Genomic DNA, 24877 nt, shown 5'->3' with positions numbered 1-24877 from the left:
ACATGCCTGTAATACCAGCTACTCGGGAGGCTGAGGCACGAGAATCGCTTCAACCTGCGAGGTGGAGGTTGCAATGAGCCGAGATCACACTACTGAGCTCCAGCCTGGACAACAGAGGGAGACTCTGTCTCAATTAAAAAAAAAAAAAAAGAGAGAGAGAGAGAGAAAAAAGTCCACAAATGGCTTCTGAAGATAAGAAAAGATGCTCAGACAGCTTGAAATAAGGGAAGCTGAAATTGAAACTTTGCTGACAAATTATGTTTCATCTCTAATATTAGCAAATATCTTAACCTTTGGTAATAGGGTATGCTAGCCATCTTCGTCATACAAGCCCACGTGGAAGGCAATTTGGCAATATCTAGCAAAATTACAAAATTACAGTCCTTAACCCAGCAATTCAATTTCCAGGAATGTATCCTACAGATATTCTTGCAAATGTACAAATGACAAATGTACAAGATTACTAATTGTAATATGTTTATCATAGAAGAAAAAAATACCTTAAGTGTGAGTCAATATGGAATTGGCTAAATATGTTATATCTACACAATGTAATACTATATAAACTTAAAACTAGATTTCAACAAGATCTTTGCATTATTTGCAGATGGAATTTAATAAAATACAATAATTAGTTAGGTACAACTAACAACAAACTTATACTGAGATCTACATATTCCAATGAGAATTCATTTCAAATGTGTCATTAAATCTGAACACAGAAATAAATGGACCTTCAAACTAGCTCTTTATTGAGTCACAAAGTGTTAAGCCAAATTTTTAAAAAACAATGAAATCATGTTAATTATACATAAAAATTTTTTATTTCTTTTGTGGCCCTCCTTTGACAATATTTTATTAATTAACAATATAACTATAGCAAAGAAATGTGCTGTTAATTAATTTTTAATGTTAATTTCACCTCTCATTCATTTTCAGATTTTAGTTTTGTGTATGTTGATAATTTATGTAGCATATTAGTACAGAGGTACAGAAGTGTGATTTATAATTTAATATACATCTAAAGAGGATACATGCTTAACTTTATTAATGGAATTTGTGATAAAGTTTGCAGACTGTTGCCTTAGAGAAGAGCTCTCACTTGGACGGGAGGCCCTGGCCAAGTTGTGTAGTGAGGACAGTTGTTGAGAGGAAAAGAGAAAAAACGAGAGGTATTAAGGCCCAGAAGAGAGTTAGCACCTGCTTCAGAACACAAGCGTGCAGGATGATATAGCTTTTAGTGCCAAGAAGTAGAATTCTAGCATCTCTAGGTGGTGAGAAACAAAGGACTAAGAATTTTTCTTTCTCTAACACTCTAAAGAAAGGTTCTTGAGCTAGGAAAGGATTACTCGAGCCTTGTTAGAATCAGACATGGCTTCAGGGGATGCAGGACGCTCCCCTGAGCTGCCTGTCACCGACTAAGTGGAGCAGTGTTTCTTCCGCAGACTCAACTGAGAAGTCAGCCTCTGCGGCAGGCACCAGGAATCTGCCTTTTCAGTAAGACCTAAATTACTCTTATGAAGCCACCTGTCCCTGAGAACCAGCAATGGCAGGTTCTTGAAGGATGTAGAACATGATGCTTGGGGTTATCATTGCTACGGGTTTTGTTTTGACTTGTTTGAGATCAGTTAACATTCTAAGGCAGAGGATGGAAACCAACCTTATTTGTAAGCTCTGCATCTTTTTTTTTTTTTTTGAAACAGGATGTCACTCTGTTGCCCAGGCTGGAGTGCAGTGGCACAATCACAACTCACAACAGCCTCAACCTCCCAGCCTTAAAAGATCCTCCCACCTCAGCCTCCCAAACAGGTGGGACCACAGTCACACACCACTATGCCTGGCTAATTTTTGTGTATTTTGTAGTGACAGAGGTCTACCTTTGTTGCCCAGGCTGGTCTCAAACTCCTGGCTTCAAGCAATTTGCCCTTTTCACCCTCACAAAGTGCTGAGATTACAGGTGTGGGCCACCATGCCCAGCCTAAGCTCTGCATCTTAAACCTCGTTTGTCTGTCCCTCACAGCTTAGCACAATGCTGTACACCACGGACTGGCATGATCTCTCTGAAAAGGGCCAGATAATAATATGTTAGGCTTTGTGGTCTATACAGCCTCTAACACAGCTACTCAACTCTGCCACTGCAGCAGGAAATCAGCCACCAACAATATATTACCAAATGATGAGAGTAGCTATGTTTCAATAAAACTTTACATACAAAAGCGGGCCTGGTTTGCCCACGCTTGCTATTCACGTTTGTAATGTACATGCCCCTCATGCAATGCAGTTCCTTATCTTATTGCTTAGTCACCTTAAAGCCCTGCTTGTTACTCGGTGCGGTGGCCTTGCTGATGACTACTTATCCCTGTTTTGGGCCTAGCCTTTCAATGCAGGAATCCAGCCCCAGGGAGAGAAACTAATGACTAGAGAAGTTTCCAGGCAAGTGCAGAAAATGACACGGGATGAACATATGTAAGAACATCAAGTTCAGGATCCCGAGTAGTTGTCAGAAATTTCACTTCACCCCATCCCAGCAAGGCTGTTGTGTTTGGGGAAGACATTATTTTAAGAGGGGAGGAGATTGTGGAAAATCAGTAGGCAGCAGGAGACAGCGCTCTTGATCCTACTCCCATTTCAGACGATTCTATGGGGGCCTCTTTATTGTCCCTCTGCTCCCCCAGGTGCTTTCCTCCTTTCATGAGGCTTTGTCCTCCATCCCTCTTGCTCCCCAGTCAGGTGCCAGACTTTTAGGAGGCCGCCCGGAGCACTGGTTGTGAAGCTTAGCAAAGCAATGCATTTGCAATCTAAGATAAAACACTAGTACTTTGGAAGCAATGCTCCCACATTTTGAAATGCATCAAGAAAAGAAAAGGAAAGATTAGGTGCTTAATCTTCACCCTTCAATAAACCCCCAAACGATGAATCTTTTTTTTTTTGAGGCGGAGTCTCGCTCTGTCGCCCAGGCTGGAGTGCAGTGGCGCAATCTCCGCTCACTGCAAGCTCAGCCTCCTGGGTTCACGCCATTCTCCTGCCTCAGCCTCCCGAGCAGCTGGGACTACAGACACATGCCACCACACCCGGCTAATTTTTTTGTATTTTTAGTAGAGACGGGGTTTCACCGCATTAGCCAGGATGGTCTTGATCTCCTGACCTCGTGATCCGCCCGTCTCGGCCTCCCAAAGTGCCGGGATTACAGGCGTGAGCCACCGCGCCTGGCCTAGACGATGAATCTTAAAGTTTTCCATTCAGGTCCACGTGTATTTCATCTCTGGCTGAAATGGGGTGTCTGTTTCTACACACCCAGTTGATCCTTGAACAAATGTAGGGGTCGGGGTGCCAATGCCTGCTCAGTTGAAAATCTGCATGTAACTTTTGACTCCCCAGAAGCTTAACGACTAATAGCCTACTGCTGACTGGAAGCCTTACCAATAACATGAACAGCCAATAAACACATATTTTGTACGTTCTATGTCTATACTGGATTCTTACAATAAAGTAAGCTAGAGAAAAGAAAATGTTATTAAGAAAATCATAAGGAAGAGAAGATATATTTACTATTTGTAAATATTAACTATTTGTTAATAGTAAATATTTACTATTATATTATATTTACTATTTGTTAAGTGGAAGTGGATCATCATAAAGGGCTTCATCCTGGTGGTCTTCACACTGAGCAGGCTGAGGTGGAGGAGGAAGAGGAGGGGTTGGTCTTGCTGTCTCGGGGTGGCAGAGGCAGAAGAAAATTCACGGATAAATGGACCCACGCAGTTCAAACCCATGATGTTCAAGGGTCAGCAGTATAGGGAATGTTTCACCCCTGTATTCTATTTTTCATTCATAGAATTAAAATAGAAATCCTAAAAATGCCCCTTGTGGTTTTCACCTGGATGTGTATTAAGGAAGGTTAATTTTTTCACTTACTTAACCCTGAGAACACAGCATTGACTTGAAAGTTACTGTATGGAAAAGCATTAAGGAGACAGCCTGCAGTCACATTCCTTCCCTGGACCGTAGAGTGGCCGGTTTTCCCTGATGGTGGCACTGAATGACCAAAGTGACAGGCAGCATCTAGGCAGGGCTGTGCACAGTCACCGATGCTGGATTTCGAAGTTCCTGAATCAAGATCGTCTGACCTGTTCTCCGGCTCTTTGGCAGGTTCTGTCTCCGGCAGGCTTTGAGGATGAAGGCTGCGGGCATTCTGACCCTCATTGGCTGCCTGGTCACAGGCGCCGAGTCCAAAATCTACACTCGTTGCAAACTGGCAAAAATATTCTCGAGGGCTGGCCTGGACAATTACTGGGGCTTCAGCCTTGGAAACTGTGAGATTATTTCTTTCCTGCTCTCTTTCTGTCCTTGACCTTTCCCCTGAGATGTTGAAGGTCCTGGCTACACTCCCTGCTGTGTCTCCCCAACTACCCCTGCTCTGCCCTCACCACACCCAGGGGTGGCTGCTGGCCTAACTGTGGCTCTCTGGGTCTCCTCTCCTTCCTCCCCTGCCCCTCATTTCCTTATTCCTGGAGTCCTGTCCTTATGACACTAGCCAGGGAAGGGGAAAATAATGCCACCTCTGCTGGCATTGTGGGGAGTGGGGGGACCTGACTGTTGGTCTAGATTAGGCTCAGCCCCTGACTGGGTGTGCAGCTTCAGGTGTGCCATCCCAGCCCCTGATGTGCCCCTCGTGTGCCCCCTGGGCACATGCCCGCCCTGCCCTGCCCAAGGTGTATTGGGAGGAAGCAGTCAGGTAACAGGGATGAGGAAACTTGCCCTTAGACCAAGCTTAGAGCAAAAGATGGCACCTCCTTTGCTGGCGTTTCTGGCTTTCCCCCCTCCAGGGATCTGCATGGCGTATTATGAGAGCGGCTACAACACCACAGCCCAGACGGTCCTGGATGACGGCAGCATCGACTACGGCATCTTCCAGATCAACAGCTTCGCGTGGTGCAGACGCGGAAAGCTGAAGGAGAACAACCACTGCCACGTCGCCTGCTCAGGTGAGGCTCTGACTTTCCAGTGATGCCATCCTCAGGACCAGGTGAGAAAGCCGACAATGGGATCACCAACCATGTCTTGCTTTAACTAAAATTTGGAGTTCAGACTTGCAAATAGGTCTGTTCAAGATTGGTAAATTATGCAACAGTTTCCAAGGTGACACTCAGGATCCTGCGGCTGACTTGTCCAAAGATGACTTATTCCTTGTAGACAGTTTTATGAAGCCCTCCCCTAAAGCAGGGGGATGGACAAACAACCCTACTGTGCTTTCATGTATAGAGATATTTGATGTCTTCAGTAAGAAAAAGGAAGCTGCCTGCCAGCTGCTTTCCATAAGCAATTCACTCAAAGGATGCAGTTTGTACTTCTTTGAGCAGAATGAGATGAATACAATTTACGTTTCTTTCTCTTTTCTCTTTTTTTGAGACAGGGTCTCACTCTGTTGCCCAGGCTGGAGTGTAGTGGTGCGTTCATAGCTCATTGCAGTCTTGACCTCCATGACTCAAGCAACCTTCCCTCCTCTGGGTGGCTGGAACTACAGGCATATGCCCAGCTATTTTTATTTTTGTTTTTTTTTGTAGAGACAGTCTGTCTGTGGGGTCTTGCTATGGGGTTCTCTCCCAGGCTGGTCTTGAACTCCTGGCCTAAGGTGACTGTCTGACTTCACTCTTGTACCTTACATGGCAAAAGGGACTTTGCAGATGTGAGGAAGGATCTGAGCCTGAGCAAGAGAGATTATCCTGGGCAATGTGGGTGGAGCCAATCCAATCTCATGAGTCCTTAGAAGGAGAGAATCTTGTCCAACATACCGAGTCATTAAAATATCATTGAATTCACTTAGAAAGGAATTAAGTTTCTAATGCTGCCCTAAAAAATTACCACAAACTTGTGGCTTAAACACCGCAAAATTTCCTTACAGTCCTCTAGGCTGGAAGAGTGCCAGCGGATTCACAGGGCTGAAGTCAAGGTGCTCACAGGCCTGTTTTCCTTTCTGGAGGCTCTGTAGGAAAATCCATGTCCTTGCTCATTTGGGTTTTGGCAGAGTTCAGTTCCTTGGGGGTGTCGAACTGAGATCCTTGTTGCTTGCAGGTTGTCACCCAAGGGCCATTCCAGGCTTCTAGGGACCACTCACACCCCTTGACTCATGGCCCCTTACTCCATCTTCACAGCCAGCAATAGTGGGTCGAGTCCCTTTCACACTTTGAATCTTTCCTCCTTCTTCTGTCATGGGATCTCTCTGTAACCACAGCTGGGCAAGATTCTCTGCTTCTAAGGACTCAGGCAGAGTCCCTTTTGCCATGCAAGGTACAAGAGTGAAGTCAGAGAGTCACCTTAGGCCAGGAGTTCAAGACCAGCCTGGGCGAGACCCCATAGTGAGACCCTACAGCCAGACTCTGTCTCCACACAAATTAAAAATAGCCAGGCATATGCCTGTAGTTCTAGCCACCTAGAGTATATTTTCTGAGAATCAAGTTGTTACATTTTTTACCTCCTGTATCATAAAGAATCCTGGCTGGAAAACAGAACAAATGCAAACTGGGTAATTGGAAGAGAATATTAATAGACTCTACTTACAAGGATCTGATCAAATCATAGAAAAACCATGGCAATAGTGAAGTGAGGGATTAAGAATCCCTTGCCCAAAGAGGAATGGAAAGAGAGCTTTGACCAGCACTGAGGTACAAAAGGTCTGCCGGGAGAGGACTGCCTTCTAGGATCTGAGATCTTCCCTCAAGGGACATGACTTGTGCTGAGTGACCTGACAGAAATAAAGCTGGAAGATATTATATGTATATGCCAACCTCAGTGTCCTTCTTCTGTCCCTTCCCTGCTGATGCCTACTCTTATTTAAACCCCTCCAGAAGTCAGAGGACATGGGAATCCATTGACGCCAACTGTGTGTGTTGGCCTCTGAGTGCACAGAGCATGGTGGAGAAGGGTAGAGAGTGGATCCATCAGGGCAAAGATGAGATACTCAGCCCAGCTCCCATGCACCCTCTCTCACAAAACTATAGGAAAACATACTCCACCAAAAGGATAAACTAAAGCAAGTAAGAGGAAACATAGTTCGGGAAACAAGGGACTCGATGAGGGAGAAAGGCAAGAGGAATGCCCAGCCTGAGAGTGAAGGATGATCCCAGAATGAGCTTTTATTAAAGATTTCTAGTTTCACCTCATTACAGTAAGAGAATATGGTCTGTATCAGTGGTCCCCAACCTTTTTGGCACCAGGGAACAGTCTGTGGAAGACAAATTTTCCGTGGACGAGGGGGAGGAGGATGGTTTCAGGATGATTCAAGCGCATTACACTTATTGTCCACTTTATTTCTATTATTATTACATTGCAATATATAAGGAATAATTATGCAACTCACCATAATGTAGAATCAGTGGGAGTCCTGGGCTTATTTTCCTGCAACTAGACAGTCCCATCTGGGGGTGATGGGAGACAGTGACGGATCATCAGGCATTAGATTCTCATAAGGAGAATGTAACCTAAATCCCTTGCAAGCGCAGTTCACAGTAGAGTTCACACCTATATAAGAATCTAATGCGGCCACTGATCTGACAGGAGGTGGAGTCCAGGCAGTAATGTGGGAGATGGGGAGGGTCTGTAAATACAGATGAAGATTCACTCACTCACCTGCTGCTCACCTCCTGCTGTGAGGCCACAGACACACATAGGTCTGTGGTTCAGGGGTTGGAGATCCCAGGTCTATATGATTTCAAACCTTTAATATTTCTTTAACCTTGTTTTACAGCACAGCAAATGTGTCTTACGGTGAATGTGCATTTGGAAAAAAAATGTGTATTTTATATTTGGTGGGTGGATGTTCTATAAATGATTGTTACTTCCTTTCTAATTTTCTTACTTGTTCTACTATACGGTGAGAAATACATATTGAAATTTGCAACTATCATTTTAGCTTTGTCTATTTCACCTTTCAGTCTCGTCCATTTTTGAAGCTTTGTTCTTAGGCATATATTCTTTGAGGGTTGTTATGTCCTTGTGGTGAATTGACTCTTTTATCACTGGAGTCCAAGTTTCTCCTTAACTCTGGTGCTATTTCTCATCCAGAAATCTACTTTGTTTGATAGCAGTATAGCCCACTCTCGCTTTCTTTGAGGAAATATTTGTATAGTATGTTTCTTTCCATCCTTCTACTTTTAATCCATCTGTCTTTATATTTAAGGTGAATTATTTATAAGTCATGTAGAGTTATGTGTTGCTTTTATATCCATTCTGGTAATTACTGTTTTTCAGTAGGAGTGATTAAAACATAGGTCAGCAAATGTTTGCCTAAAGGGCCAAATGATAAATATTTTAGGCTTTTCAGGCCATATGGTTTCGATTGCAACTACCCAACCATGACATAGTGTGAAAGCAGCCATAGAAAGTATATAAATGAATGGGCCTGGCTGTGTTCCAATAAGACTTTATTTACAGAAACGGGAGATTGGCCTGTGGGTTATGCCATGATTAGGCCGTTTGCATTTAATGTGATTACTGATATGACTAGTTTTTTCTTTTTCTTTTTTTTTCTTTTTTTGTTTTGTTGAGTTGGAGCTTTGCTCTGTCGCCCAGGCTGGAGTACAGTGGCGCGATCTTGGCTCATTGCACCCTCTGCCTCCTGGGTTCAAGTGATTCTTCTGCCTCAGCTTCCTGAGTAGCTGGGACTACAGGCACATGCCACCACGCCCAGCTAATTTTTTGTATTTTTTTTAGTAGAGATGGGGTTTCACTGTGTCAGCCAGGATGGTCTCGATCTCCTGACCTTGTGATCTGCCTACCTTGGCCTCCCAAAGTGCTGGGATTACAGAAGTGAGCCACTGCACCCGGCTGATATGGCTAGTTTTAAATTACATCTTGCTATTTTGTTTTCTGTTTGTGCCATCTATTCTTGGTTCCATTTTTTCTGCCTTCTTTTGAATTTATTGAATATTTTTTAGTATTCTCTTTTATTTCCTCCATTGGTTTGTTAGCTATACTTCTATTTTGTTTTTAGTTGTTACTGTAGGGTTTCCAATAGGCATCATTATCTTATTACATCTTACCTTCAAGTAACACACCACTTCATATGTAACGTATGAGTTTCTTAACAGTATACTTCAATTTTTCCTATTCCATCCTTTGTGCTGTATTGTCATGCATTTTTCTTCTATATTTGTGTACCTCACAATGCATTTTTATAATTTTTTCTTTAAACAATTGTCTTTTAAATAAATTTTTAAATGAGAAAAAAGTTTTATAGTATCTATTACACATTATTATTTCCAATACTCTTCATTCCTTTGGTGGATTTACTTGAGCAGACAGTTAATTGATATCGTTTTCCTTCAGCCTAAAGAACTTTCTTTAACTTTGTTTTGTTTTGTTTTAGAGTAGAGGTCTATTAGCAAGCATTCTTTCTGTCTGAAAATATCTGTACTTATTTTGATTTTGAGGAATATTTTCTTTACATATAAAATTCTGGGCTGACAGTTCTTTTCCACCTCAAGTTGTTATTGTTGTTGTTTTGAGACAGGGTCGTGCTCTGTCTCAGAACAACACTGTGAGTGTAGTGGCATGATCACAACTCACTGCAGCCTTGACCTCCTGGACTCAAGTAATTCTCATGCCTCAGCCTCCTGAGCAGCTGGGACTACAGGCACGTGCCACCATGCCTGGCTGATTTAAAAAAAAAAAAATTGTGGAGATGGGGTCTCGTCATGTTACCCACGCTGGTCTCAAACTCCTGGGCTCAGGCAATCCTCTCACCTCAGCCTCCCAAAGTGCTGGGATTACAGTTGTGAGCCACCACACTTGGCTTCAAGTTTTTAAAGATATTCGGTTGCTTTCTGGCTTGCCTTGTGTATGATGGGAAACCAGTGATTTCCTTCTGTTTGTCCCCGGTATGTAATATGTGTTTTTTTTCTCTAGTTGTTTTTAAGATTTTCTCTTTGTCACTCATTTTCAGCAATTCGATGATGTGTGATATTTGTGTTTATCTTACTTGGTATTCATTAACATTTTGTATCCCTGAGTTTATAATTTTCATTAAATTTGGAAACATTTCAGCCATTCTTTCTTCTAATGCTTTTCTTTTCTCCTTCAAGAATTCTAACGGCATGTATGTTCGATCGCTGATGCTGTACCATTCATCATTGAGGTTCCTCGTTTTTTAGTATTTTTCCCTCCCTGTATTTTATTTTCAATAGTTTCCATTATTATGTCTTCAAGTCGGCTGTTACTTTTTTTTTTAATGCTAATCTGTTAAACTTATTGATTGGATGTTTCTTTTCAGATACTGTGTTTTTTATTTGGCATCATAATTTTGTTTCTTTCATTTCATTTTATTCCTGTTTCTCTTTAAGTCCTTGATATAAATCATCATATTTATAAGCAGTGATTTAAATTTCTTATCAGCTAATGCAATCAACTGTCCTTTCTGAGTCTTGCCCTTGACCGATCTTTTTCTTAGTATGTGTCACATTTCTCTGCCTCTGCGCATGGAATAATTTTTTATTGAATACACACACAGTGTATGTGTTGACGGCTCTTGTGAGTCCTCGGGTCCTGTCTTCTTAGTTTAAAAGAATTTCAACAAAAGACACATAGCAAAGGAGATGTAGCATAAAGTAATTTATTGAGAAAGAAAAAGACTATTTTGAAAGTTAGGTGCAGAATAGACAGTACACCCTGAGAGAGGAAGATATCAAGGCAGGCTGCTCGTGAAGATTGGACAACAAAGACTGGTACCAGGGATGCTCCCTTTAATGGAGACTTCCATGGTTACTCATAAGCGGGTGGGAAGAGGTGTTGCTAGTAAGCATGTTCTGGGCGATCCTCTTGGTGCACTTACTCAGTAGCTGTACATGATTGTCCATACATCTCATGTCTCATTAGCATCTTAAATCTCCACCCAGGGATCTGTTTTTTATTTTTATTTTTTGTGTGTTCTAATAAAACTTTATTTACAAAAACAGCAGTGGCCTCACGCTGCAGTTTACCAACCTCTGCCCTTGAGGAAATTCTAAACGATCCTTCTATTCTCCTTGTAGAAGATGATATTACACAATTTTTGGCATATGAAGAAGCAATCGATAAATACAAACACAAAAATATGTAGGAAAATCATATTATCTGTGCCAAACAGAAAATTGCAGAAATATTTCCTTTTTGCAGATTTTTGTGAATTTTTCCAGCTTTTTAACACTTGCAACATGCCATTTTTTAGTATTTGAAAGAGCTGTCTCTTTAATATCTAAATTTTCTTTTCTTTTTTTTAATTTTTTTATTATTGTACTTTAAGTTTTAGGGTACATGTACACAACGTGCAACTTTGTTACATATGTATACATGTGCCATTTTGGTGTGCTGCACTCATTAACTCCTCATTTAGCATTAGGTATATCTCCTAATGCTATCCCTCCCGCCTCCCCCCACCCCACAACAGTCCCCGGTGTGTGATGTTCCCCTTCCTGTGTCCATGTGTTCTCATTGTTCAATTCCCACCTATGAGTGAGAACATGCGGTGTTTGGTTTTTTGTCCTTGTGATAGTTTGCTGAGAATGATGGTTTCCAGCTTCATCCATGTCCCTACAAAGGACATGAACTCATCCTTTTTTATGGCTGCATAGTATTCCATGGTGTATATGTGCCACATTTTCTTAATCCAGTCTATCATTGTTGGACATTTGGGTTGGTTCCAAATCTTTACTATTGTGAATAGTGCTGCAATAAACATACGTGTGCATGTGTCTTTATAGCAGCATGATTTATAATCCTTTGGGTATATACCCAGTAATGGGATGGCTGCGTCAAATGGTATTTCTAGTTCTAGATCCCTGAGGAATTGCCACACTGACTTCCACAATGGTTGAACTAGTTTACAGTCCCACCAACAGTGTAAAAGTGTTCCTATTTCTCCACATCCTCTCTAGCACCTGTTGTTTCCTGACTTTTTAATAATGGCCATTCTAACTGATGTGAGATGGTATCTCATTGTGGTTTGGATTTGCATTTCTCTGATGGCCAGTGATGATGAGCATTTTTTCATGTGTCTGTTGGCTGCATAAATATCTTCTTTTGAGAAGTGTCTGTTCATATACTTTGCCCACTTGTTGGTGGGGTTGTTTGTTTTTTTCTTGTAAATTTGTTTGAGTTCTTTGTAGATTCTGGATATTAGCCTTTTGTCAGATGAGTAGATTGCAAAAATTTTCTCCCATTCTGTAGGTTGCCTGTTCACTCTGATGGTAGTTTCTTTTGTTGTGCAGAAGCTCTTTAGTTTAATTAGATCCCATTTGTCAATTTTGGCTTTTGTTGCCATTGCTTTTTGTGTTTTAGACATGAAGTCCTTGCCCATGCCTATGTCCTGAATGGTATTGCCTAGGTTTTCTTCTAGGGTTTTTATGGTTTTAGGTCTAACATTTAAGTCTTTAGTCCATCTTGAATTAATTTTTGTATAAGGTGTAAGGAAGGGATCCAGTTTCAGCTTTCTACATATGGCCTGCCAATTTTCCCAGCACCATTTATTAAATAGAGAATTCTTTCCCCATTTCTTGCTTTTGTCAGGTTTGTCAAAGATCACATAGTTGTAGATATGCAGTATTATTTCTGAGGGCTCTGTTCTGTTCCATTGATCTATATCTCTGTTTTGGTACCAGTACCATGCTGTTTTGGTTACTGTAGCCTTGTAGTATAGTTGGAAGTCAGGTAGCGTGATGCCTCCAGCTTTGTTCTTTTGGCTTAGGATTGACTTGACAATGCGGGCTCTTTTTTGGTTCCATATGAACTTTAAAGTAGTTTTTTCCAATTCTGTGAAGAAAGTCATTGATAGCTTGATGGGGATGGCATTGAATCTATAAATTACCTTGGGCAGTATGGCCATTTTCACGATATTGATTCTTCCTACCCATGAACATGGAATGTTCTTCCATTTGTTTGTATCCTCTTTTACTTCCTTGAGCAGTGGTTTGTAGTTCTCCTTGAAGAGGTCCTTCACGTCCCTTGTAAGTTGGATTCCTAGGTATTTTATTCTCTTTGAAGCAATTGTGAATGGGAGTTCACTCATGATTTGGCTCTCTGTTTGTCTGTTATTGGTGTATAAGAATGCTTGTGATTTTTGCACATTGATTTTGTATCCTGAGACTTTGCTGAAGTTGCTTATCAGCTTAAGGAGATTTTGGGCTGAGACAATGGGGTTTTCTAGATATACAGTCATGTCATCTGCAAACAGGGATAATTTGACTTCCTCTTTTCCTAATTGAATGCCCTTTATTTCCTTCTCCTGCCTGATTGCCCTGGCCAGAACTTCCAACACTATGTTGAATAGGAGTGGTGAGAGAGGACATCCCTGTCTTGTGCTAGTTTTCAAAGGGAATGCTTCCAGTTTTTTCTTTTCTTTTCTTTTTTTTCTTTTTCTTTTCTTTTTTTTTTTTTTTTTTTTTTTTGAGACAGAGTCTCACTCTGTCACCCAGGCTGAAGTGCAGTGGCACGATCTCGGCTCACTGCAACCTCCGCCTCCAGGGTTCAAGCAATTCTCCTGCCTCAGCCTCTGGAGTAGCTGGGATTACAGGCGTGTGCCACCACAGCCAGCTAACTTTTGTATTTTTAGTAGAGACAGGTTTTGCCATGTTGGCCAGGCTGGTCTCAAACTCCTGACCTCAAGTGATCTGCCTGCCTCAGCCTCCTGAAGTGCTGGGATTACAGGTGTGAGCCGCCGCGCCCGGTCGACATACTTTCCTAAGGAAATTCAGTTGTGTCCAATGAGTACTTTCAAAACATCCCAATTGTGCAACAAAATGCTCTAACAACATAGGAGGGGACAAACAACTTTACGCGGTGTCTGCTTCCTGGTCCTGCATGGCCTGACCCTTTCAGGAATCCTTACAGAACATTGCCAGCCAAGCAAACTGCCCTGCCCCCAGTACAAATGTGCACTTTCTGTACATGCCTGGGATGACCTCCAATCCCAGAATAATAGAATGTGATCTGCTTCCTCCTCACTGTGTCTCTCCAACCCCTAGAGACAGCCCCAAACCCATGTCTCCCAGGAAATACGCTAGACCACTTCCAAACACAAACGAGTGTCTCAGCATTTATTAAGCACTTATGCACCCGAAATAAAGGGTCTCTAAGTAATTTGAACATATATCAGGTACCAAATGCTTAAGTTTGGATAATCTCATAGGTAAATAATTACTAGAAAAATTAAAAGTATATTAAAAGTAAATAATTACTAGAAAAATTAAAAGTATATTTTCATTATCAACTTTATTAGCATATAGTGTTCCATGAGCAGGAATCTTGCTTAAGTGGCCTCTGTTGGAAGAAGGAATCAGAGGAAAACAGAATTTAAGCCCTCTATCGGAATACAGGCTCATTAACTGAGTGTGTGAACTTGGTTTATGGGGATAAAATGGTACCCATAGAAATGGTTGTTCTGAGGACTGATGGAGATTTTGCGTGAAGAGATTTAACATGTGCCTGACATAGAGTAAGATTTCAATAAAGTATTAGCTAGTGGTAATAGCTGTTATTATCCTAAATATTTATATCTCAAGAAGATAGGCAAAAGACTTTTTTGTTGTTGTTTGTTTGATTGTTTGTTTTGAGATGGATGTTTGTTTTGAGAGGATGGTCTCCATCTCCTGACCTGGCGATCTGCCCGCCTCAGCCTCCCAAAGTGCTGGGATTATAGGCGTGAGCCACCGCACCAGGCTGGCAAGAGAATTTTATAAGCTGATATAGCTTTAGTTTTCACTGTAGAACTATAAACCAAATGCTAGTGAATCTGCGTATGTTGTTTCAATTGCTATCTCTTATAGACGATGTATTTTGTTACTTTTTCTCCTGGTTAATAGAATTTTGTTTCAAATAAAAATTAAGCCACATTTAGAATAAATTTGCTTAAAAAAAATCTATCACTACGTTTATCTTCTAGTGAAGCCTAACTGAGAAAGCAACAAAATTAGCAACTCAAGGAAATAGCATGCTCAAGGAAAAATTCCACTTTCAACTGAGTTAACAAAATAATTTGGAATTACAATGCCTTATTGAAATGCAACATTTTATGCTAACATTATTTTTGGTTATTTTTCTGGTAATAAAAGTAGTACATTTCAATTGTAAAAAATTTTAGAAAATATACAGTAAAGACATAAAAGCATTGGTGAACCCACAGTTAAGAGCCAATCTTTCTTAAAATACTGGTGAATTAATGACTATCTTTTTTTTTCTAAACCAGTGCTATCTAATAGAACTTTCCATGATGACAAAAATGTCTTCCATCTGTGCTGTCAAACAGAACCACTAGCCATGAGTGGCTATAAAGTATCTGAGATGTAGCTAGAACAAATAAGGAACTAAAGTTTTAATTGTCTTTAATGTTAATTAATTACAATTTTTTATATTTTTCCCAGCTTTATTGAGGTATAACTGACAAATCAAAATTGTATATATTTAAAGTAAATAACATGATAATTTGATATATTTATACATTGGGAAATGATCACTACAATTGAGTTTAACATTACCTCACATAATTACTGTGTGTGTGTGACAGAGTGTGTGTATGAGAGACAGAGAGAGAGAGAGAGAGAGAAGAACACTTAAGATCCACTATCAGCAAATTTCAAGTAAGCAGTACAGTATAATTAACTATGGTCACAATAGCTTACCTTAGACCCCCAGACCTTCCTCACCTTATAACTGAAAGTTTGGACCCTTCCATCAGCATCTCCCCATTTTCCTAACCAGCCACCGCTCTACTCTCTGCTTTTATGAGTTCAACTTTTGTAGATTTTGCATATGCGTGAAATCATGTGGTATTTGTCTTTCTGGGTCTCACTTCCTTCACTTAGCATGACGTCCTTCCGTTCTTCCATGTTGTTGCAAATGTCAGCATTTCCTTCTTTTCCATGACTGAATAATATTCCACTCTCTATATAAACATATTTTTATCCATTCACCTGTCAACAAATATAATTTTAATTTAAATTATCACATGTTGCTAATGCCTGCCATATTGGCATTAGCCAATACAGCTCTCAATGGATATTTTTATGATATTGGGAACTTAACATTGCATTGGGAGCATTTCTCCATATTATTAAATATCCTGGGAAAACATAATTCAAACAGCTCTTTATTTTATTAAATGAAGGTATTATGACTAATTTGAATATCACTGATTATGAGGCAATTAGATTTTTTCATTTTAACTCTTGTAAATAATGCTATAGTAAACCACTTTGTAAAGAAATATTTGTCTAGTGTCATGACTATTTCCTTAGGATAGATCTGGAGAGAGAAATTATTAGGTGAAAGGATAAAAACCTCGTTAAGGCTCTAAACACATGCTGCTATGTTGGTTTCCTGAGACATTGAATCCATTATACTCCCACCAGCAAGTATCCAGAGAACCTGCCTCTCTGTGCCCTTGTCAACATCCAGCATTACCCAATTCTCTTAAAAAAAAAATCTTTGCATAATTGACAAGCAGTAATGAGATCAAGTGGTTTGAGTATTTTTGTCCTTGATTGGTGGTTGTGGTGGTCATGGAGATGGGCCTCCCAGATCCCCTGCTAAGGGAAGACATGCTGCCCCCGCTGCAGTTGTGTGATGAGCAGACAGTACCTGCCACCTGCTTCAGGATTGGCTTCAGGTGCAGGTTGCTCCCTTCCGGGGTGACCCACACCCATTGACGTGTGAGGCAGAGGCATTCAGACCTGGCATGTGGGCCTGACTTGGGCCACTCTGATGGGCAGTGCTCACTCGGGAGCTCATGGCTGGGCTGCCCAATGAATTGCTGGGTCTGCGTCACAAATGGACATCTCCGTCTGCCCATCCTGCTTCCCCCCAGCCGATTCCTTTCATAGGTGTGGATTGCTGAAAATATCTGGCATTTCAAACCCATCTCAGCATCAGCTCCTGGAGGACTCAACTTGCAGTAGAAGTAATGTTGAACTTGTTTTGTTTATTTGCCTTTTTCTGTCATGTTTGTGTTGAGGATTTTGAGGCCGCTTCTAAGCAAGCAGGAAAGAATGTGGATATCAACTAATACATTTCAATTCAAAGATTTGTTATGTCTGAAGCAATAGAAAAAATAATAGGTGGCGGGGCATGGTGGCTCATGTCTGTAATCCCAGCACTTTGGGAGGCCAAAGCCAGAGGATTGCTTGAGCCCAGGAGTTCCAGACCAGCCTGGTGAAACCCTGTCTCTACAAAAATAAAAATAAAAAATGGTCAGGCGTGGTGGTGCATACCTGTATTTCCAGCTATTTTGAAGGCTGAGGTGGAAGTATTGCTTGAGGCCAGGAGGTTGAGGCTGCAGTGAGCTATTATCATGCCACTGCACTCCAGCCTGGGTGACAGAGTGAGATTCTGTCTCAAAAAGGAAACAGAAAAGGAAAAGTAATAAAGACAAAGACTGGTGTATTTGATTTAAAAGGTAAAACTTTCTGCACATGAAAAACACCCTGGATAAAATTTTTTTAAGACACAAACTGAAAAATGACAATAGACAAAATTTAATATTTACCTGTAAAGAAACCTTACACGTCAAACTAACCCAAATACAGAAAACACTATACTATCCTGTCTTATGTGCCTTTTTTTTTTTTTTCTTAAGACAGAGTCTCACTCTGTTGCCCAGGCTGGAGTACAGTGATGTAAACACAACTCATTTCAGCTTTGACCTCCTGGGCTCAAGTGATTCTCCCACCTCAGACTCCCAAGTAGCTGAGACCACAGGTGTGTGCCATCACACTAGGCTATTTTTTTTACATTTTGTAGAGATGAGGTCTTGCTATGTTGCCCAGACTGGACTCAAACTCCTGGCCTCAAGTGATTCTCCTACCTTGGCCTCCCAAAGTACTGGGATTGCAGGTCAGCCACCACGCCCGGCCTGTGCCTATTTCTGTAGGACATAAGGAACATTTTCACATAGCGTCTTCTCTAAACACATTTCCAAAAACCCTTCAGGATTGGGCTCTTCCTCTGAAATGTCAGGTAGTGCAAGATGAAGATGGTCTTAAAACAAAAGCAAAGTTCTTTTCATTATGAAGAAGCTCAACAGAAATGAGATTGTGGCTTTGCAGGGAAAATTATAGTTCTTCCAACCTTCCCATCCCAAAAAGACTGAGAAAAATGAAGTAAACTTGAGTTGGGGTCCCTCTCCAACAACAAAGTCTCGCCTAACCCTGATGACCTCTCTTTTTACAGCCTTGGTCACTGATGACCTCACAGATGCGATTATCTGTGCCAAGAAAATTGTTAAAGAGACACAAGGAATGAACTATTGGTAAGAGTCTTTCCTTGGAAGACTTGGGCTGTCATGGGCAAAACCTAGTGTGTGTATTTATCACAGTTATGGTGGAATTGACAAACTCACCTCCGCAGAGTGGTCCAACCAATGGAAGGAGACCTTGTCTATATTCTCCTCCATCAGTGTGTGGGTGTGCAGTGAACATAGTAGTACATAGAAAGGGAGCAGAGACATGGGAGTGAGTTAAGATAATTTGCAATTGCTTTTCATATGAACATATTCCAAACAATGGAGAAAGGTATTTTCTAAAGTGACTTGGAAAGGGTCAATTGAGTCAATTCACCAGAGGGAAAAAAAAGCTTGAGTTTGCTCTAGATTTGGATAAGATTTTGAAGGTTACGGCAACATTTTGCAGGGAAAGAGAATGAGCAGCAGCAAGAGGAAAGTGAGCAGGTCTGTGTCATGGCGACTCAGCAGAAAGCGTCCCCAGCATTGAGCCTGGGGCCTTGCATTCCCCGCTGCTGTGTTCTGGTGAACATTGCCAGCCGGCCCCACTCAGGGAACCCGAATTTTCACAGATGTGGGTGTGACATGGAATGACCCATCCTTACAAAAGTTGATTGCTTGTTGCTGAGGCTAACAGTGGCTAGGAGAAAACCAGGAGATCAAAGTCTGAACTAGGCAAAATGACAGCGTCCTTTGATCTCAGAAGCAAATGAAACCCAACCCAGGGTTCCGCTGGCGATTTTGGTTAATTTCTGTAGACTTTGAAACTGAGACGGTTTGGATTGTCACGCTTCTTTCTGCTGCTCTTGCTTCCCTCTCGTCCTCAGGCAAGGCTGGAAGAAACACTGTGAGGGGAGAGACCTGTCCGACTGGAAAAAAGACTGTGAGGTTTCCTAAACTGGAACTGGACCCAGGATGCTTTGCAGCAACGCCCTAGGGTTTGCAGTGAATGTCCAAATGCCTGTGTCATCTTGTCCCGTTTCCTCCCAATATTCCTTCTCAAACTTGGAGAGGGAAAATTAAGCTATACTTTTAAGAAAATAAATATTTCCATTTAAATGTCTTCACCCTGACTCGGTTCCCTTTTCTCTTTCTTTCCTTTCTTTCTTTCTTTCCTTTCTTTTCTTTTCTTTCTTTCTTTCTTTCTTTTTCTTTCTTTCTTTCCTTCCTTCCTTTCTTTCTCTCTTTCTCTTCCTTTCTTCCTTCCTCCCTCCCTCTCTTTCCTTCTTTCTTTCTCTTTCTTTCTTTCTTTCTTTCTTTCTTTCTTTCTTTCTTTCTTTCCTTCCTTCCTTCCTTCCTTCCTTCCTTCCTTCCTTCCTTCTTTCTTTTTCCTTCCTTCCTTTTTTTTTTTTTTTCAGAGTCTTGTGCTCTGTCCCCCAGGCTGGAGTGCAGTCGTACGATTTCAGCCCACTGCAACCTCCACCTCCCGGGTTCAAGCGATTCTTGTGCCTCAGCCTCCCGAGTAGCTGGGATTGCAGGCATGTGCCACCACACCCAGATGGGGTTTCTCCATGTTGCCCAGCCTGGTCTCAAATTTCTGAGCTCAAGGTGATCTGCCCACCTTGGCATCCCAAAGTCCTGGGATTACAGGTGTGAGCCATCGCACCCCACCCTGACTCAGTTTCAATGATGTCTTAATGGCATCGTGTTAAGACTTGAAAAATTGCCTCCAAAATGCTCTAGCCCTGAGGGAAACAAACGTCCCTTCTTCATTGTAGGGAGTCCTGGTTCCTGTGGCCATTCGAAATAAGACTCATTCGAAAATAAGACTCCCTCATCTTCAGGGCCATCCTCAGAAACAGGACACATGCAGAAGGGTTAGGTTAAGAGCTAGGAGCACCTGAGGGGCGGGACCCCCTTAAGAGTACCCCAGAAGGACCATCGATGTATGCATACCCACAAGCCTAGACACCATTTGTGTACCTACACGCACGCAAGAGATGTGGAGAGACAAGGCAACTGAGATTCATGGTTTGATGATTAAAATTCTCATGAAGGTTTTTAGTTGTATTTTCTGTATTTTGCATTCGGCATTTTCCAAGTTTTCCATGACATATCTTGCTATTGAAGAAAACCATCCACTTTTTTCCAGAAAAAAAAATAAATAAATAAGACTTCCAGTGAGGCACAGTGGCTCATGCTTTTAATCCCAACAATCTGGGAGGCCAAGGTGGGAAGATTGCTTGAGGCCAGGAGTTCAAGACAAGCCTGGGCAACATAGCAAGACTCTGTCTTTACAATATTTTTTAAGCCCTGTGTGCATTAGGTATTTGTCCTAATGCTCTCCGTCTCCTTTCCCCCAACCCCCTCAACAGGCCCCAGTGTGTGATGTTCTGCTCCCAGTGTCCATGTGTTCTCATTGTTCAACTCCCACTTATGAGTGAGAACATGTGGTGTTTGGTTTTCTGTTCTTATGTTAGTGTGCTGAGGATGATGGTTTCCAGGTTCATCCATGTCCCCGCAAAGGACATGAACTCATTCTTTTTTATGGCTGCAACATTTTTTTTCAATTGAAGCTTTTACCCCAAATCCTGCTGGAAAGTCTAATAGGACAAAATAGATAAAATTGCAGCTCTTACCCCCAACATCCAGAGAGTTCCCCATGTTATTCCAGCTTCTACTTAAATCAAGCTTTTCAAACCCAGCCCAGATGGCTTTAAATGTGGCCCAACACAAATTAGTAGACTTTCTTAAAATATTATGAGATTTGTTTGTGATTTTTTTTTTTTAGCTCATCAGCTATTGTTAGTGTTCATGTATTTTATTTGTGGCCTAAGACAATTCTTCTTCTTCCAGTGTGGCCCAGGGAAGTCAAAAGATTGGATACCCCTGATTGGAAAACTGACTCCAAAAATAAGTGCTTCAAAATTCAAGGTGAAAGGGCACTGGGTGTGCTACCATTAGACTCATGTATCTTTTTGCAAAACTCATAAAATTTCTAAGCATGCAATCCTACTCTTCCCCCATATTTGATTTATTTCTATAATAATTTAGGGTAAAAAATGCATTTCCCAGATAATTTTCCATAATTAATGCCTTCAGAAATTCAAGAGGAAATGACTACTTCTATGCCTGAGCTATCTTTATTCAACAGAAGTATATTTTAGAAAAACCCACACTCATGTTCCCTTTATAGATATTTGGAAGTAGATTTTCATTTTCTCCCCATGGCCACATTATCTGTTGGTTACCAGGTACACTGAGCAGACTCTTGGGTATTAGGGGATAGTGACTGGCTTATGTGGGGACATGCTTTCTGTGGGGACTCAGCTCTGCCTGGTTCTTGGGACAGCCCCTGCTATCTCCAGCATCTGGCTCTTTGTATCCCAACTTGTTCTCTGTTGTTTGTTCCTGGATGCTTTCTGGTCTGGTCTGCAATTTTCTCTTGATTCCTTTTATACCCAGTATATCATTTCCCTACAGATGTCCTTGCTCCTGGTTTTTCCCAAACTTGGAGGTTGTGCTTCTCCCCTAAAGCCTGTTCAAGCCTGACCCAGCCAACATGAAGCTCCCTGCTCCTCTAACCCCCTAGTGCTCTTGCCTCTGAACTCGTGGCTGGTGTGTGCCATAGGATTAGGTCACTGGGAATTGGTGTCCTCATCCAGCCTGTAAGCTACTTGAGGCCTAGACCATGTCTTTCACTGTTATATTGTCCACAGTCCCTTCTGCAGTGCTAAACACATAATAGTTAACATTCAAAAATATTAGATGTTGGCCAGGCACAATGACTCAAGCCTGTAATCCTAACACTGTAGGATGCCAAGGCAGGAGGATCACTTGAGCCAGGAATTGGAGACCAGCCTGGGCAGCACAATGAGACCCCATCTCTACAAAAAATACAAAGATTAGCTGCGTGTGGTGGTGCACACCTGTAGTTCCAGCTACTCAGGAGGTTGAGGTGGGAGGGTCGCTTGAGCCCAGGAATTTCAGGCTTCAGTGAACTATGATCGAGCCACTGCACTCCAGCCTGGATGACAGAGTGAGGCCCTGTCTCTTAAAAAAATTAATTAATTAAAAAATTTGATGGGTTTTTTTGTGCCACTGGACACATGTGGAATCACAGAAGGAATACAAATCAGACCTCGCATTAAGAACATTTTTGTTTTCAAATCAAGTTCATGTTTATTATTTCATATGCTCCTCACAACAACCTTGGGATATAGGGGAATGTAACCTTCATTCCACACACATCCCTGAGATACGGAAGGGGTAACTATCGCCCAGGGGCCACAGCGCGACAGCAGAGAATCCAAGAGGCCCCTGCTGCCCTGCGGGGATCTTCAGAACTCAATGACAGAACGTGTCCTAGTTCCTTTACGAACAGGAAGTACCTGAGCCCTTCACCTGCGTTCCATATAGCCACTTCCTTGAGTGTCTCAAATATGGCACAAACCCTAAGCCAGCCCCTGAAAGATCTGCAGGAGCAATTTAATCTCTTCAAGGTGAATTTTAAAAGTAGAGGCTTTATCAAGAAAGCCAGAAAGATTTTCTCTGTGTCTCCAAAATGGAAGGAAAATGATCTAGATATCTAAAATTGAAACTCCCAATAAACAACAGTTACTTTTTCCAACTAGAAACCAATTACATTTTTTGATTTAAAAGGTTTAAGGGCCATGCATGGTGGCTCATGCCTGTAACCCCAGCACTTGGGGAGGCTGAGTCTGGAAGATTGCTTGAGCCCAGGATTTGGAGACCAGCCTGGGCAACAGGGCAAGATCCCATCTCTACAAAAAGTTTTAAAATTAGCCAAGTGTGGTGGTACACGCCTGTGGTCCCAGCTATTTGAGAGGCTGAAGTGGGAGGATCACTTCAGCTTGGGAGGCTGAGGCTGCAGTGAGCTGTAATTATACCACTGCCCTCTAGTCTGGCTGGGCAACACAGCAAGATACGTAGGCTAATTAGCCCACTCCAGGCCCACTCAGCCTCCTGGCGATGTTTCTCCAGGTTATCGGATTTCCTCTACAGTGCTTCTGTCTTGAAGGGTCCGACTGCTTGAGGACGGACATTGCTATCCCCCAGGGCTCAGGCTGAGAGCAGTTCTTTACACGCAATGATGTCTAAGGGTGGAAATTCACACATCCAGCTTGCAAAAAAGCCGCAGCCAGGGAGAGCTTAGGGTCCTGATCTGGGAGGAATCCTGGGTGTAGTAGAAGCTTTGGGAGTAACATGAGGCTCCTTAGGGGCCAGGAAGGCAGCTTCACAGCACTCTGCCTTGAACAGGTGATTCTTTTCCTCATTTTTCTCCCGTCTCTCATCCGATTCCACAAGTTCAGGGAAACGGAACAGGGGACACTCAGAAACTGTTCTGATTTACAGATTCAGCAAGCACCTCTGTTTAAACTGATCCTCCAGTAACAGAAAGAGAAGAGGAAGCACAAGGGCAGAAGCTAATAAGCAGAGTCTTGCTGGAGAACAGGAGAGAGGAGAGAGGTAAAGAATCCGTTTCCTTACACGAAGCTGCAGTTTGCACATTTTTTACCACTGGGGCCTCCTTTGCTGATGTAACCCAAAAGAAACGCTGGGTATTGAATGGAGGCATTGTTTTACTCACCTTATTGGTTAGGCTCTGTTCATAACAATAATCTACATTCTTTGTAGGGTAGAAAATATTTTTCAAAACTCTAAAAATAAAAGAAAATAGGCTGGGCGCGGTGGCTCACACCTGTAATCCCAGCACTTTGGGAGGCCAAGGCGGGTGGATCACCTGAGATCAGGAGTTTGAGACCAGCCTGGCCAATATGGTGAAACCCCGTCTCCACTAAAAATACAAAAAATTAGCCAGGCGTGGTGGCGGGTGCCTGTAATCCCAGCTACTCAGGAGGCTGAGGCAGGAGAATTGCTTGAATCCAGGAGGTGGAGGCAGCAAGCCAAGATCGCACCACTGCATTCCAGCCTGGGCAACAGAAGCGAAACTCCATCTCTTAAAAAAAAAAAAAAAAGACCAAAAGTATGAAAGCTGATCACAGTTTGATCCATCATCTACCATTTGGTTGGTACTAACAGAAAACATTTCAAGTTGGTACTGTACTGAAAAACCCAAAACATGCCCTTACTGTAGCTCCAGGTCCTCTGTCCCTGGTGATAGAGCAAAGTTGATAGCTGTGCAGAGTGGGGAGTAGACAGGGCGCCCTTGAGAAGCTGCCAGAGTTAAGTTAAGCCCACCTCCTCTGAGACTAGCTCCGTGAGTACAGACAAGACACTGAAGTTCTGTGTTTCACCTCCTGTAAAATAGGAATAACAATATTTGCCATGCACGGCCATGGGAAGGACTAGCAACTGTGTTAGAAGCACATGGCACAAACCAGGCTTTTAAAAAGCGTTGGTGACTAATTCAGCTGGGGATGGAGGTGCATGCCTGCTAGTCCCAGCTGCTTGGCAGGCTGAGGTGGAAGGATCGATTGATCCTGGAAGTTCAAGGCTACAGTGAGCTATGATGGCACCACTGCACTCAGCCTGGGCACCAGAGAAAGACCCTATCTCTAAAAAAAAAAAAAAAAAAAGTAATTATTATTCTATTTCGGTATTTTTCCTTCTCTATGATTTTGTACCAGGTGATTTCTAACAGGACCTGCAGACACTTCGACAAGATAAACTACATTTTATGTGAAATAAAGGCATGTTCAAAAAGCAAGAGGGCAG

General features: G+C 42.1%; 1 protein-coding gene and 1 long non-coding RNA gene across 5 annotated transcripts; one reads left to right on the top strand and one right to left on the bottom strand.

Moving 5' to 3' along the window:
• Nucleotides 1–1336: 1336 nt before the first annotated feature.
• Nucleotides 1337–24869, top strand: LYZL2 (lysozyme like 2). Of its 4 annotated transcripts, none has more exons than XR_930469.3 (5): nt 1337–1497; nt 4150–4313; nt 4827–4985; nt 23555–23668; nt 24790–24869. XR_930469.3 is itself a non-coding variant. In NM_183058.3 (5 exons), the coding sequence occupies exons 2-5, from the start codon at nt 4175–4177 to the stop codon at nt 19133–19135; spliced, it is 447 nt and encodes a 148-aa protein (NP_898881.3). In that variant the 5' UTR covers nt 1337–1497; nt 4150–4174; the 3' UTR covers nt 19136–19311. The 4 variants fall into 4 exon arrangements, 3 of the variants coding, with proteins under 3 accessions (NP_898881.3, XP_011517608.1, XP_011517609.1); NM_183058.3 differs by lacking the exons at nt 23555–23668; nt 24790–24869 and adding exons at nt 18190–18268; nt 19066–19311; XM_011519306.3 differs by lacking the exons at nt 23555–23668; nt 24790–24869 and adding an exon at nt 19066–19311.
• On the bottom strand, nt 14220–15843 carry LOC124902404 (uncharacterized). The gene is made up of 2 exons (XR_007062103.1): nt 15669–15843; nt 14220–14286 (listed from the first exon to the last, which is right to left on the bottom strand). It is a non-coding gene; the product is annotated as an uncharacterized LOC124902404 (long non-coding RNA).
• Nucleotides 24870–24877: the final 8 nt, after the last annotated feature.

Source organism: Homo sapiens, chromosome 10 (assembly GCF_000001405.40).
Source record: "Homo sapiens chromosome 10, GRCh38.p14 Primary Assembly".
NCBI lineage: Eukaryota > Metazoa > Chordata > Mammalia > Primates > Hominidae > Homo > Homo sapiens.
Note: the sequence above shows the minus strand (reverse complement) of the source record. Positions and strands in the feature narration are given on the sequence as shown.

Bases quoted from the DNA above. Each gene is read 5' to 3' on its own strand.
- LYZL2 (XM_011519306.3), top strand. From the start codon at position 1,385: ATGCAGGACGCTCCCCTGAGCTGCCTGTCACCGACTAAGTGGAGCAGT. The intron at 4,314-4,826 runs GTGAGATTATTT...TCCCCCCTCCAG, and splicing joins GGGCTTCAGCCTTGGAAACT to GGATCTGCATGGCGTATTAT. The intron at 4,986-19,065 runs GTGAGGCTCTGA...TCTCGTCCTCAG, and splicing joins CTGCCACGTCGCCTGCTCAG to GCAAGGCTGGAAGAAACACT.